This window comes from Homo sapiens, chromosome 5, assembly GCF_000001405.40.
Source record: "Homo sapiens chromosome 5, GRCh38.p14 Primary Assembly".
NCBI classification, from domain to species: Eukaryota; Metazoa; Chordata; class Mammalia; order Primates; family Hominidae; genus Homo; species Homo sapiens.
Genome location: NC_000005.10, coordinates 140,198,836 through 140,213,490, shown reverse-complemented (window position 1 = coordinate 140,213,490; position 14,655 = coordinate 140,198,836). Strand labels below are relative to the sequence as shown.

The 14,655-nt window shown below is 43.1% G+C and overlaps 1 protein-coding gene across 1 annotated transcript in view, besides 2 other annotated features; it reads right to left on the bottom strand.

Annotated features, from left to right (window-relative positions):
- Positions 1–14,655, bottom strand: part of CYSTM1 (cysteine rich transmembrane module containing 1) — a 68,602-nt gene that overhangs the window by 30,299 nt on the left and 23,648 nt on the right. The gene's annotated exons all lie outside the window — the stretch shown is intronic.
- Positions 5,772–5,821: an enhancer, noted in NCBI's record as "active region_23264". NCBI's record gives its function as "activates an Ori minimal core promoter by ATAC-STARR-seq in GM12878 lymphoblastoid cells {active_cell/tissue: GM12878}" and the evidence as "EXISTENCE:reporter gene assay evidence [ECO:0000049][PMID:35858748]".
- Positions 5,832–5,881: an enhancer, noted in NCBI's record as "active region_23263". NCBI's record gives its function as "activates an Ori minimal core promoter by ATAC-STARR-seq in GM12878 lymphoblastoid cells {active_cell/tissue: GM12878}" and the evidence as "EXISTENCE:reporter gene assay evidence [ECO:0000049][PMID:35858748]".

Below are 14,655 nucleotides of genomic sequence, written 5' to 3'. Positions count from 1 at the left end.
ATCTGCCATACACTTAGGCTATACTAAATTTATAAAACAAATTTCTTTCTTCAATAACTAACCTTAGCTTACTGTAACTTTGAAAAAAATTTTAAACTTTTTGACTCTTTACCAACACTTTGCTTAAAACATAAATATATTATACAGCTAAACAAAACTGTTTTTTCTTTATACCCTTATTCTATAAGCTTTTTCTATTTTTAAAATTTATTTATTTTTTACTTTTTAAACATTTTTGTTAAAAACTGAGACACAAACCCACACATTAGCCTACGTCTACAGAAGGTCAGTATCATTAACATTACTGTCTTCCACTTCCACATCTTGTCCCACTGGAGGTCTTCAGGGGTAATAACATACATGGAGCTCATCTCTAATGACTTCTTCTGGAATGTCTCCTGAAGGACCTGCCTGAGGCTGTTTTATGGTTAACTTAAAAAAAAAAAATAGGAGTTCTCTCTCTCTCTGTCTCTCTCTCTCATATATATATATATATATATATATATACTTTTGTTTTGTTTTTGAGACAGAGTCTCACTCTGTTGTCCAGGCTGGAGTGCATTAGCATGATCATGGCTCACTGCAGCCTTGACCTCCCTGGGCTCAAGTGATTCTCTCACCTCAGCCTCTCTAGTAGCTGGGATTACAGGCGTGTATCACCACGCCTGGTTGTTTTTCTATTTTTTTGTAGAGATGGAGTTTGGCCATATTGCCCAGGCTGGTCTCAAACTCCTGGGCTCAAGCAGTCCACTCACTCTGGCCTCCCAAAGTGCTGGGATTACAGGTGTGAGCCATTGTGCCTGACCTTAGTTTATATATTTACTATACTTTAAATTGATATTTTGGAGTGTACTCCTGACCGGGCATGGTGGCTCACAAAAATTAGCTGAGTGTGGTGGCATGCACCTGTAGTCCTAGCTACTTGGGAGGCTGAGGTGGGAGGATCACCTGAGCCCAGAGAAGTCAGGGCTGCAGTGAGCTGTGATCCTGCCACTGCACGCCAAACCACATAAGCCAGTAACACAGTCATTTATTATCAAGTATTATGTACCGTACATAATTGTATGTGCCATGCTTTTATACAGCTGGCAGCGCAGTAGGTTCGTTTACACCAGCATCACCACAAACATGTGAGTAACACATCACTTTATGACGATATCATGATGGCCAAGACATCACTAGGGATAGAAATTTTCCAGCTCCATTATAATCTTATGGGATCACCGTCATTTACGTGGCCTGTTGTTGACCAAGACATCCTTATGCGGCGGTGCATGACTGTAGTTAAGAATACAAATTTGAAACTAGACAGACCTGGGTTCAATTCATAGCTCAGCTAGTTACTATTTAAACAGAGCTTAGTTATGTCATCCCTCTGAATCTCAGTCTCCTCATCTCTAAAATGGGATATCACTAGGACTGCTATATGGATTCAATATGATAATGTATACAAAGCACCTAAATAAAATCTAATTAGAAATGGTAATATTTATTTAGTGACTGGCACTGAATTACTGAAGGGACTTATTTTTGCGTGTGTGTGTGTGGCAGGGTATCACTCTCTCACACAGGCTGGAGTGCAGTGGCGACATCTTGGCTCACTGCAACCTCTGCCTCCCAGGTCTAAGCAATTCTCCTGCCTCAGTCTCCCCAGTAGCTGGGATTACAGGTGTGCGCCACCATGCCTGGCTAATTTTTGTATTTTTGGTAGAAACAGGGTTTCACTATGTTGGCCAGGCTGGTCTTGAATTCCTGACCTGAAGTGATCCACCCACCTTGGCCTCCCAAAGTGCTGGGATTACAGGCGTGAGCCACTGCACCTGGCCACTGAAGGGATTTAACAGGTATTTGCTGTACGAGGTTCCAGGGGAAAAGGGAAGAGTAGGTTATAAAACAATTTTTACTCATGCATGGAAGGCCACATGATACATGGAAGTATGTCAGGCTCTGGGTCAGAGATCTGGGGGATCATAGACAAGATGTTATTATAGCTTCTCTAAGACCCTGGTTCCACAGATGTAAAATTTGAGATACCACTACCCTGAAGAGCTGTTGTAAAACTTGGAAGCCGTGTTTACAATGCTCTCAGCCAAGTATCAGGGATTTCAGTAGGTGCTCAGAAAATGGTGGTAGTTGCTGACAAGCATAGCCTCTGGAATCAGATTGCTAGGTTTGAATCTCAGCTCCATCACTTCTTAGCTCTGTGACCATGAACAAGTTAGCCTTTCCATGCTTCAGTTTCTTCATCTATATGATGGAGATAAGAAGACCTACCTTGCAGGATTGTTCTTAGGACTAGATGAGCTAATATACAAAAGTGCTTGACACATAATAACTACTAGACAAATACTGGTTCTATTATTTGGCTAGTATTTATTATTTAATAATTAATACTTAAAAACTTAAACCACTGGCCCCAAACTCTTCTGGTTCTGGTGGTTTTAATCTAGAAATTGTTACCAAACATCCAGATTCTCTAGCCCCAGACTGCAGAGAGGCTCAGAAACACAGCCTGTCCAGTCAGGAGAGAGTTCTTTATAGTTCCAAATTTCCAAAACCTTCTCCCTCAGCAGGCCATCAGAAAAAGTCATGTATTTTTCAGCTGCTCATGAAGCTTATTAGGAAGACCTTTTCCTTCACTGGGTTCAAAAGCAATGGCTCACTTAAAATTTTAATTAAGGCCAGGTGCAGTGGCTCACACCTGTAATCCCAGTACTTTGGGAGGCCGAGGCGGGCAGATGGTTTGAGCCCAGGAACTCAAGACCAGCCTGTGTAACAGAGCGAGACCCTGTCTCTACAAAAAATACAAAAATTAGCTGGGCATCGTGGTGCATACCTGTGGTCCTGGCTACTCAGGTGGCTAAGGTGGGATTATTTGAGCCTTGGGAGGCAGAGGTTGGAGTGAGCCAAAGTTGCACCACTGCACTCCAACCTGGGCAACAGAGCAAGACCCTATTTCAAAAAAAAAAAAGAAGAAAAATAAATTTTCTTAAATTAAGACTCTATGGCAGTGGTTCTCAAAGGAGGGGTGATGTTGGCCCCTAGGGGACATTTGGTAATGTCTAGAGACATTTTCAGTTGTTATAACTGAGGTGATTGCTACTACTGGTATTTAATGGTAGAGGCTAGGGATGCTGCTGAGCATCCTACAATACACAGGACAGCCCCCACAACAAAAAATCATCTGGCCCAAGTGTCAATAGCACTGAGGCTGAGAAATTTTAACCTATAGAAAAGTTGCGTATGACAAAAGTGGGTGGGGTGGGGGACCAAAATACACAATGGTATCTACATTATAGTGGTAGCCAGGTATAAATGACATGTGCGTATAAACAAGAACTGACTAGGAAATAAGACAATGAAAATGATTTGAGAAAGTAGGGTGTGTGAATTATGATAATTAAAAAAATTTTTATGAGCATTATTACTATGTTTAAGGACCAGAAAAAGAGTGAAGGCCAGAACTCAGTGGAGGCAAGAATGCCCCAAAACTACATCTCTCCATTCTGATTATTAAGACATTTGTGACTGCTGGTATTATAACAGTGCTCCAACCCCCTGCTACATAATGAATATTCTACTCAGGTCCCAACAAATGAGTAAGGTGAGAAAGGAAAAAAAAAGTGCAAACAGCCAGGCGCGGTGGCTCACGCCTGTAATCCCAGTACTTTGGGAGGCTGAGGTGGGCAGATCACCTGAGGTCAGGAGTTTGAGACCAGCCTGGCCAACATGGTGAAACCCTGTCTCTACAAAAATACAAAATTACTGGGCACGGTGGCTCACGCCTGTAATCCCAGCACTTTGGGAGGGCAAGGCAGGTGAATCACAAGGTCAGGAGTTCGAGACCAGTCTGGTCAATATGGTGAAACCCCGCCTTTACTAAAAATACAAAAATTAGCTGGGCATGGTGGCAGGCACCTGTAGTCCCAGCTATTCAGGAGGCTGAGGCAGGAGAATCGCTTGAACCCGGGAGGCGGAGGTTGCAGTGAGCTGAGATCACGCCACTGCACCCTAGCCTGGGCAACAGAGCAAGACTCCATCTCAAAAAAAAAAAAAATTAGCCAGGCATGGTGTTGTGTGCCTGTAATCCCAGCTACTCGGAAGGCTCAGGCAGGATAATCACTTGAACCCAGGAGGCGGAGGTTGCAGTGAGCTGAGATCACACCATTGCACTCCAGCCTGGGCAACAGAGCAAGACTCCATCTCAAAAAAAAAAAAAAAGAAAAGAAAGAAAGTACGAGCAGTCTTTTCTACAAAATCAAGCCCAGAGTTTAACCACTTAAAAAAGCTTATTCCAGTCCCCTTCTGTCCTCTCTCCTGCATATCTTTAAACTCTTCTTCATCTTGAATCACGTGACAAGTAGTTACTGGTGAATGGTTAAATTAGGCAAGGTTTCCCATCATGGACCTTTCAGATAGTAGAGAAGACCTTAATTCTTTTTTTTTTTTTTTGAGATGGAGTCTCGCTCTGTCACCCAGGCTGGAGTGCAGTGGCGTGATCTCGGCTCACTGCAACCTCTGCCTCCTGGGTTCACATCATTCTCCTGCCTCAGCTTCCCGAGTAGCTGGGACTACAGGCGCCTGCCACCACACCTGGCTAATTTTTTGTATTTTTAGTAGAGACAGGGTTTCACCATGTTAGCCAGGATGGTCTCAATCTCCTGACCTCGTGATCCGCCTGCCTCGGCCTCCCAAAGTGCTGGGATTATAGGCGTGAGCCACCACACCCAGCCAAGAAGACCTTAATTCTTTAAAAATATTTTTTTATTTTAATTTTTGTGGGTACATAGTAGGTGTATATATTTATGGGGTACATGAGATGTTTTGATACAGGCATGTAATGCATCATAGAGAATGGGGTATCCTTTCCCTCAAGTATTTATCCTTTGTGTTACAAACAATCAAATTATACTCTTTTAGTTATTTTTAAATGTACAATAAAATTATTACTGACTATAGTCACTCTGTTGTGCTAGCAAATACCAGACTCATTCATTCTTTCTAACTATTCTTTTGTATCCACTAACTATTCCCACCTCCCCCTACTACCCTTGCCAGCCTCTGGTTACCATCCTACTCTCTATCTCCATGAGTTCAATTGTTCTGATTTTTAGATCCCACAAATAAGTGAGAACACACAATGTTTGTCTTTGTGCCTAGCTTATTTCACTTAGCATAATGGCCTCCAGTTCCATCCATGTTGTTGCAAATGATCTCATTCTTTTTTATGACTGAATAGTACTCCACTGTGAATAAATACCACATTTTTTTAAAATCCAGTCATCTGCTGATGGGCATGTAGGTTGTTTCCAGATTTTAGCTATTGTGAACAAAGCTGCAACAAACATGAGAGTGCAGGTATCTCTTTGATATATTGATTTCCTTCCTTTTGGGTAAATACTCAGCAGTGGGATTGCTGGATCATAGAGTACCTCTATTTTTAGTTTTTTGAGGAACCTCCAAACTGTTCCCTATAGTAGTTGTACTAATTTACATTCCCCCCAACAGTGTACAAGGGTTCCCTTTTCTTCACAACCTCTCCAGCATTTGTTATTGCCTGGAGAAGACCTTAATTCTTTAAGTAGAGTCAAGACTATAAAATTACAAATCAAGATAGTACTATGAAGGACAGAAATCTGATCCAGACTGGGAGGTGAGGAGTACCACTCAGATGTGAATGATTAATAGGGGTTACCTATACTAAGCCAAGAGAGGAGCAAAGAATTTCCCAAGCCACACAGAGGAAGTGGCATTTGCAAAAGCCATGTGGAAGGAGGGAGCCTGATGATGCTGAGAAACTGAAACTGAACCTAGTAGCAGGGCCAGACCATGAAAGGCCCCTAAGTTTTTTGGAATGCTGGTCTTTAAGAAAAACAGAAAATCATTAAGCAGGGAGAAAAAATATTTAAATCTTTGAGTTGTACATTAAGTTCCTACTTTGGCACATCCAAGGGTCAGGTGAGGCAATTACTCCCACTAGGACCTCTTTACCCTCAAGTAATCTGAAACCTTTGACCTATCACAGGAAAGCCTAGTACAGTGGCAAATCGTCTACACCAAATGTAGGCCAACAGAACACTGCAATAAGTAAGGAGGGGTAGTTTCCCTCCAAGCTGAGGATCAGCAAGTTGTAAGTCCAGTGCCCTCTCTGGGGTAGGGGAAAGGGAAGCCCTCGAGATAGCTGATGTTTGAGCTCTTTTCAAGAGCCAGGAATTTCAGAAGGACCCCATAAGCAGCCTGTCTTCTAGTTGAGGGGCCAGAGAAGACGGTTCTGTGGCCACCAGAGCTCTCTCTCTCTCTTCTCATAGCAAAAGGTATATATGTGTCCAGACCCACTTGCTGGGTCAGAAACCACAAGCTTCTCAAGCCTCTGACAGACCCAGCTAAAGTCTTAAAAGATGCTGGCCCTGTCTATGTGAAACTTTTCCGAGGCATTCCATGAAAACACCATTTGGGCACTGGAAGATTCAAATGGATGTCCCAGGATATGTGCTCAGAGATGTGAAAGGAAGGGGGAAAGTTAAATGGATTATCCTCAGTTTAGAAGATAAACTGAGACAGCCTTGGTGGCACACGCCTGTAATCCCAGCACTTTGGGGAGTCTGAGGCGGGCAGATCACTTGAGTCCAGGAGCTCAAGACCAACCGGGGCAGTGTTTGGTGAGACCCCTCTCTACAAAAAATTTTTTAAAAATTAGCTAGGTACAATGGCACATGCCTGTGGTCCCAGCTACTTGGGAGGCTGAGATGGGAGAATCACTTGAGCCCAGGAAGTCAAGGCTGCAGTGAACCTTGTTTATGCCACTATACTCCAGCCTGGGTGACAGAGCAAGATCCTGTCTCAAAAAAGAAACAAACAAACAAACAAACAAACAAACAAACAACAGTGCTCAGCACAAGGCCCTGACACATGTCAGCAATTCAGGAAGCAGCAGCTCAATACTCCCAGGATTCTGTACAGATGAGAGGAGGAGGAAAAGGAACCCAAGGTAAGGCCAGAAGGAGAAATACCTCACAGGATACCCTGAGCAGCCCGAGGAGATTGGGAGAGGGGGACATTCAACTATTCAAGAAATATTTAAAATTCAGTAGTGAATATAACATTCAAAAATCTCTGCCTTCAAGGAGCTTATACTCCAGTGGGAAGAGAAAGGCAGCCAATGAACAAGTAAACACAGTATGTCAGGCAAGGAAAACAGGCAGAAGAACAGGGACAGAGAGTGCCAGTGGGGGCGCTACAATTATATGGGGTGGGGGAGGGGGAGGTGACTGGAAGGCCTTTCTGACTAGGTGGCAGCTGAACAAGGCTCAAAAGAAAGTGAGACTGTAAGCTGTGGATGTCTGAGGGAAAGGCATGGCAAGGGCAAAAGCCCTAGAGTTGGAATGTGCCTGGTGAGGAAGGGAGGGAAGGTGGAGCAGAGGGCGCAGGGGCAAAGTGGCAGGAGTCAGAGAGGTGGCAGCAGCCCGCTCACAAAGGGACTTGCTAGTTGCTGCAAGGATTCTAGCTTTCACTCCAGTGAAATGGAAAGCTATTAGGCGGTCTTGAGAATAAGACAGCAGAGGGCATGAGCAGGAGGAGGGGATCAATTATATGGCCATGATTGCAGATGAGAGATGACTTTGGAGCTGTCCCAGTTTCCTCAGGCCAGTGGGGATAGATCAGGAGTGACCCTCAGCAACTGGCTTTCCCTGCTTTCCAGAGAGCTTTGTCTTCCCCACCCCTATCCATCCCTAAGCAAAAATTCAGAAAATTTGTGTGGGCCAGGGGAGGGTACTAACTTCCTCACTGCTCATCAAGGTGCCATAAACTGTAAAGATGCATTACTTTATTTATTCTTTATCACAATCCCGTAATCCCAGCTCTACAGACAAGAAGGCAGAAGCTCAGGGAACTGGAAAAACTCTACCTAGATTCTAAGCCAATGTGGCTCTTGGTGGCACTAAGCAGTGTCCTTGTTGGGACATTCTGTCATCTGATACCTGGCAAAGAAAGAAGGCACTGGACTGGTCTATGCTGGAAAGGCTTTCCAGGGCAATGAAAATGCCTGATTGGAGTTTCTGATGAAAGAAAGTATAAAAGGCTCAAACAAGCCAGGCAGTAATTCCATACTTAGAGCCAATTAGTCAGAGATGCCAGACCGTTAAATTTCCTTCCTCTTCTTTCCTCACACTGACTAATGAAAGCAGCATAAGACACCAAGAAGAGTGTGCAGGAGAAATATGCCATTCTATCACCTCCCCCACAATCTCTGACCGTGGAATATAGAGGCCTCCCATAACATTCTGCTGGCTGGCCAATGGCCCGGTGGGCCCAAAAGGGTACCCCTGAAGATGCACTCCCTTTTCATGTCTTCAAATCACAAAGAACCAGGGTCACTGGGTAGTTCCCAACATACAGGCTTAGAAATCTGGTTCAAAGGCCCATGAGGCTTTTGAGCTCCATGGGGGCATCCCAATGGACTGTGCTAAAGTAGAACTTATTTCATTTTAAATCCGTATGTTGCCAGATATCACAGTCCTACCCCAGAAGAACATAAATAAAACCCCAATATCTGGACTTATGGGAGTTAAAATAGCAAGGGAAGGGTCTCTAAGGGAAAGTGACAAGGGCACCAGACACTGAACATGAACTCACAACCACCCTTTGAAATGGTAATACTTGCATTCATCTAACACGTATTTACTGAGCATATACACATACACATACACACACACACGCGCTCAGCACTGTTGAAGATGCAGTGGAAGCAGAGGTGAAAGAAGAAAAAAACGTCTTTGAGAAGCATACAAGGGGAGGCAGGGCACACTCAAAGATCAGGGAGGTAAAATAATTTGCTCAGGTCCTAGTGTTAATGAGATTTGAATCCAGCTTTATTGCACTCCACTTTACCTCTGTCTACCAGGAAACTGGTGTTCTGTTATAATTTTTTGGTGGTTTTTTGTTTTGTTTTTGTATGTTTTAGGGGTGGGGGGGTGCAGATAAGGAAGGGAAAAGGCTGGAAATATTTTCCTTTGGTGGTGTTTGAGAATTTCTGTGGAATCTGTGCTGTATCACAGCAGCAGGGCATAATGAAGAAATGCACTTAGCCTGGGATCAGGAGACGTTTTGTTGTTGTTGAGAGACAGGGTCTTGCTCTGTCGCACAAGCTGGAGTGCAGTGGCTCAATCCTAGTTCACTGTAGCCTGGAACTCCTGGACTCAGGTGATCCTCCTGCCTCAGCCTCCTGAGCAGATCGGACTACAGGCACGCACTACCACACCTGGATAATTTTCTTTTATTATTTGTAGAGATGTGTGGTGTCTTAGTACGGTGCCTAGGCTGGTGTCGAACTCCTGGCCTCAAGCGATGCTCCTGTCTCAGCCTCCCAAAGTGCTGGGACTACAGGCATGAGTTTCCTGCACCTGGCAGGAAACTTATATTCTAGTTAAAACTTACTGACCCTGGAAAGTCACTAAACTTCTCTGGGCTTCAGTTTAAATGTCTCTAAAAAGAGGGGGTTAACCTAGCAAGGAATGGTAAATGGGTTCGTCTTACTCCTAACAATTCAAATCTATTCACGGTTCCTGTCTAGAATGCTGGGGTATGCTGAAGCTGTATTCACGCTTAGTGAAAGGAGCTGTAATTGCCTAGTGATGTTTGCTATAAGGTCAGAGGGTAATAACTAACCCAGATGATCATGTGAGGACTCTTCTACTTCTGATGATTCAAGGTATCTGAGTGGAAGTCATTTCAATTTGGTGATAAAATAAAAAACCCCCTTCTTCCATGACTTTCTAACCAATTCACAGGAGTATCCTTAAAATGACAGATCACCTATATTCTGATATAAGCCTAGTTATAGTGTTTAATTTTTCACTTTAAACAGTTATGATACTATGGCATATTTATTAGAATCTAGAAATAGTTTTGTTATTTAGAATGTTTCAGTCAACAGGAATTCACCTGTCACCACTGAAACTTGTGGTAATGTTTCCAAAGATCTCCCATCCCATATGCCTTTTTGCAATGTGACTTACCACTCTCCCAACAAGGAATGAAGTCTATTTTCCTCCCCTTGAAACTAGGCTAGATAGACTTCATGTTGCTTTGACCAAGAGTGTGATGGATGTGACATTGTGTGACTTCTGAGCCAAGGGGGTGAAAAAGCCTGATGGATCATTGTATTGTGGCTATGTAAGGTTTGGGGAAATCGGGATGAAAGGTATACAGAACCATTTGTATTATCTTTGCAATGTTTTTCTAAGTCTGAAATTGTTTCAAAATTAGAAGTTAAATCGAAAGTTTTTTGTTTCATTTCTTTTTTAAGGCTTTTATTTTATGTTCAGGGGTACATGTGCAGGAAGGCCTGGCAGATTCCATTCTTGCATTGTAACATGGAAAAAACCCACCTACTCTGAAACTCTCATGCTGTGACAGCAGCACTGAGAGACCATGCAGAGGGACAGAGACAACCAACCCTACGCTGTTTCAATCATGTCAGCTGAAATACCAGACGTGATTTTTTTTTCTTTTTGGATTTGAGATAATTTCTTGTTATAATGAGCCAGAATTACAAGGTTCCATTGGAACTGAAACAGCTGACAGAATAGGGTTGAAGTTAATCAAATCTTCAAGGACAATAAGATCAAACAAAGCCAGTAGAAGTGGAGAAACCCAACACTGGTTTGGAATGCACACAGAAATACTAGCATGTAGGTGCCTCCTGACCCCTCCCAGCAGTTGGACATCATGCTCCCACCCCTTTCTCCCTTCTAAAGCACTGGCCAAACCAAATGGCTTCTTTCTCTGTATTGCAAGTGTAAGTCAATCCAAGAGTACCCTTTTGGACATAATACAAAGCCAAGAAGAAAGTTGATGGATCATATTGGACGGTAGAAAGTGTACAAATCCAACCCAGCAAATTGCTTATCATTATCTACGTTCCAGCCTCAGTAGGTGCCAACAAGGAGCAGAGATGAATCAATCTTTCTGCTCAAGCCCTGTCCAAATTATGGAACCTCTAAGATTGGGGGTGGTTTGTGACGTAACAATAGATAACCAAAACATACATCAACCTTCCACCTATGGCAAATGCCTTAAATTCTGCTCTGGCAAGATCTGGCTGCCAAATGGACCTTTTGGATCTAATCCTTAGGGTGAGATCAGTTTCACATTGTTCTTTGCTAAGTGCTTTTGTTTCCAGAGTTCATTTTATACAGTACCACTGCTCTTATTTCAATAAGATTTATCTTCAGTATAACTTAAGAATATTAGCAGGCCAGGCGCAGTGACTCATGCTTGTAATCCCTGCACTTTAGGAGGCCGAGGAGGGTGAATCACCTGAGGTCAGGAGTTTGAGACCAGCCTGGCCAATACAGTGAAATCCCATTTCTACTAAAAATACAAAAATTAGCTGGGCTTGGTGGCGTATGCCTGTAATCCCAGCTACTCGGGAGGCTGAGACAGGAGAATCACTTGAACCTGGGAGGCGGAGGTTGCAGTGACCCGAGATTGCGCCACTGCACTCCAGCCTGGATGACAGAGCAAGACTCCGTCAAAAAAAAAAAAAAAAAAAAAAAGAGTATTAGAGGATTCCCCCACTTTCTGGTAGGAGGGTTTTCTTCTCCCTGCAATGTTTGTTCCCTCAGAATCCCTTTTTTCTGTTTGGATCATCATCTTTTATCTTGGAGGCTTTCTTTACTCAGATGTCTGGTGAACCTCCGTTGCTGGTTAATATCTAAGGCTAAGGTTCTATCACTTGTAGCCTTAAGAGTCTTGACCAAAACAAACAGTGAAAGCCTAAACACTAAGAGCAAGGTTGATTGAATTCAGACATAAAAAAGCTAAAATGGACTGTACATAAGGTAGACACTATTGAATCTGGAGCAAGAAGAAGGGCTCTGAAAGAAGTCTGTATAGGGTGCAGTTGAAGCAAATAGGAGTGGTAAATTCTACTGGAGGTATAGTATAGGTAAGCAAAAGCTTCAAGGAAGAAGAGATATTTTCTTTTGATCGCCAGAGATGTGTAGGGTAGGTTGTGGCAGAGTGGGAATGAGAGGTGGGAAGTAAAGGAAGCAGCATGAACAAAGTTAGGGTATATGGACCAGTATGGCAGGTTAGAGGCCTTACCTACATATAGACTACCTAGATGATAATATTCTGGATTTCAAGCTGATGTAATTATTGGATGAGACATCTAGTGGTGGTGGAAGGGGGTGGATATATTTTGCATATGAGGGGGATGTAAATTGTTGAGAGCAAAGGGCAGAATGTGGTGGACTGTTTGCACAGACGGTCACCAATTCCTCTCACCCTGTATTCACATGCCATTCCTCCAGGATGGAGTCTATTTTATACAAATGTTTATAACAGCCATTATTCATTATTCCTAATAGCCATAAAGTAGAAACAACCTAAATGCCCATCAACCAATGAAAGGATAACTAAAACGTGGTATATCCACAATGGAATATTATTTGGCAATAGGAAGGAATAAAGTATTGATACATGCTACAACATAGATGAACCCTGGAAATATCAAGCTAAGTGAAAGAAGCATGTAACAAAAGACCAAATATTGTATGGTTCCATTTATACAAAATGTCCAGAACAGACAAATCTATAGAGACAGAGTAGATTAATGGTGGGGAAGAGGCCGGGCGCGATGGCTCACGCCTGTAATCCCAGCACTCTGAGAGGCTGAGGTGGGCGGATCATCAGGTCAGGAGATCAAGACCATCCTGGCTAACACGGTGAAACCCCGTCTCCACTAAAAATAAAAAAATTAGCTGAGCATGGTGGCAGGCATCTGTAGTCCCAGCTACTCGGGAAGCTGAGGCAGGAGAATGGCGTGAACCCGGGAGGCAGAGTTTGCAGTGAGCCGAGATTGTGCCACTGCACTCCAGCCTGGGCGACAGAGTGAGACTCTGCCTCAAAAAAAAAAAAAAAAAAAAAGGCCGGGGGGAAGAGTGGAAGGAAATGGGGAGAGATTGCTAAAGGGTTTCTTTTTGGGGTGATGAAAGTGTTCTGTATATAGACCAATGGAACAGAACAGAGGCCTCAGAAATAACACCACACATCTATAACCACTTGATCTTTGACAAACCTGACGAAAACAAGCAATGGGGAAAGGATTCCCTATTTAATAAATGGTATTGGGAAAACTAGCTAGCCATGTGCAGAAAACTGAAACTGGACCCCTTCCTTATACCTTATACAAAAATTAACTCAATATGGATTAAAGACTTAAACGTAAGACCTAAAACCATAAAAACCCTAGAAGAAAACCTAGGCAATACCATTCAGGACATAGGCATAGGCAAAGACTTCATGGCTAAAACACCAAAAGCAATGGCAACAAAAGCCAACACTGACAAATGGGATCTAATTAAACTAAAGAGCTTCTGCACAGCAAAAGAAACTATCATCATCCCATATGTAGGCAACCTACAATATGGGAGAAAATTTTTGCAATCTATCCATCTGACAAAGGGCCAATATCCACAATCTACAAGGAACTTAAACAAATTTATGAGAAAAAAACAACCCCATCAAAAAGTGGGCAAAGAATATGAACAGACACTTCTCAAAAGAAGACATTTATGCGTCCAAAAACATATGAAAAAAAGTTCATCATCACTGGTCATTAGAGAAATGCAAATCAAAACCACAATGAGATACCATCTCACGCCAGTTAGAATGGTGATCATTAAAAAGTCAGGAAACGGCTGGGCACCGTGGCTCACGCATGTAATCCCAGCACTTTGGGAGGCCAAGGTGGGCAGAACACTAGGTCAGGAATTCAACACCAGCCTGACCAATATGGTGAAACCTCATCTCTACTAAAAATACAAAAATTACAGCCATGGTGGCGCATGCCTGTAATCCCAGCTACTCAGGGGGCTGAGGCAGGAGAATCGCTTGAACCCCGGAGGTGGAGGTTGCAGTAAGTCAAGATCGCGCCACTGCACTCCAGCCTGGGCGACAGTGTGAGACTCCATCTCAAAAAACACAAAACAAAAACAATAAAAAGTCAGGAAACAATAGATGCTGGAGAGGATGTGGAGAAATAGGAACACTTTTACACTGCTGGTGGGAGCGTAAATTAGTTTAACCATTGTGGAAGACAGTGTGGTAATTCCTCAAGGATCTAGAACCAGAAATACCATTTGACCCAGCAATCCCATTACTGGGTATATACCCAAAGGATTATAAGTCATTCTACTATAAAGACACATGCACAGGTATGTTTATTGCAGCATTATTCACAATAGCAAAAACTTGGAACCAACCCAAATGCCCATCAATGATAGACTGGATAAAGAAAATGTGGCACATATACACCATGGAATACTATGCAGCCATAAAAAAGGATGAGTTCATGTCCTTTGCAGGGACATGGATGAAGCTGGAAACCATCATTCTCAACAAACCAACACAGGAACAGAAAACCAAACACCACATGTTCTTACTCATAAGTGGGAGCTGAACAAAGAGAACACATGGACACAGGGAGGGGAACACCACACACTGGGGCCTGTCGGGGAGTTGGGGGGCTAGGGGAGGGATAGCATTAGGAGAAATACCCAATGTAGATGACGGGTGCAGCAAACCACCATGGCACATGCATACCTATGTAACAAACCTGCACATTCTGCACATGTATCCTAGAACTTA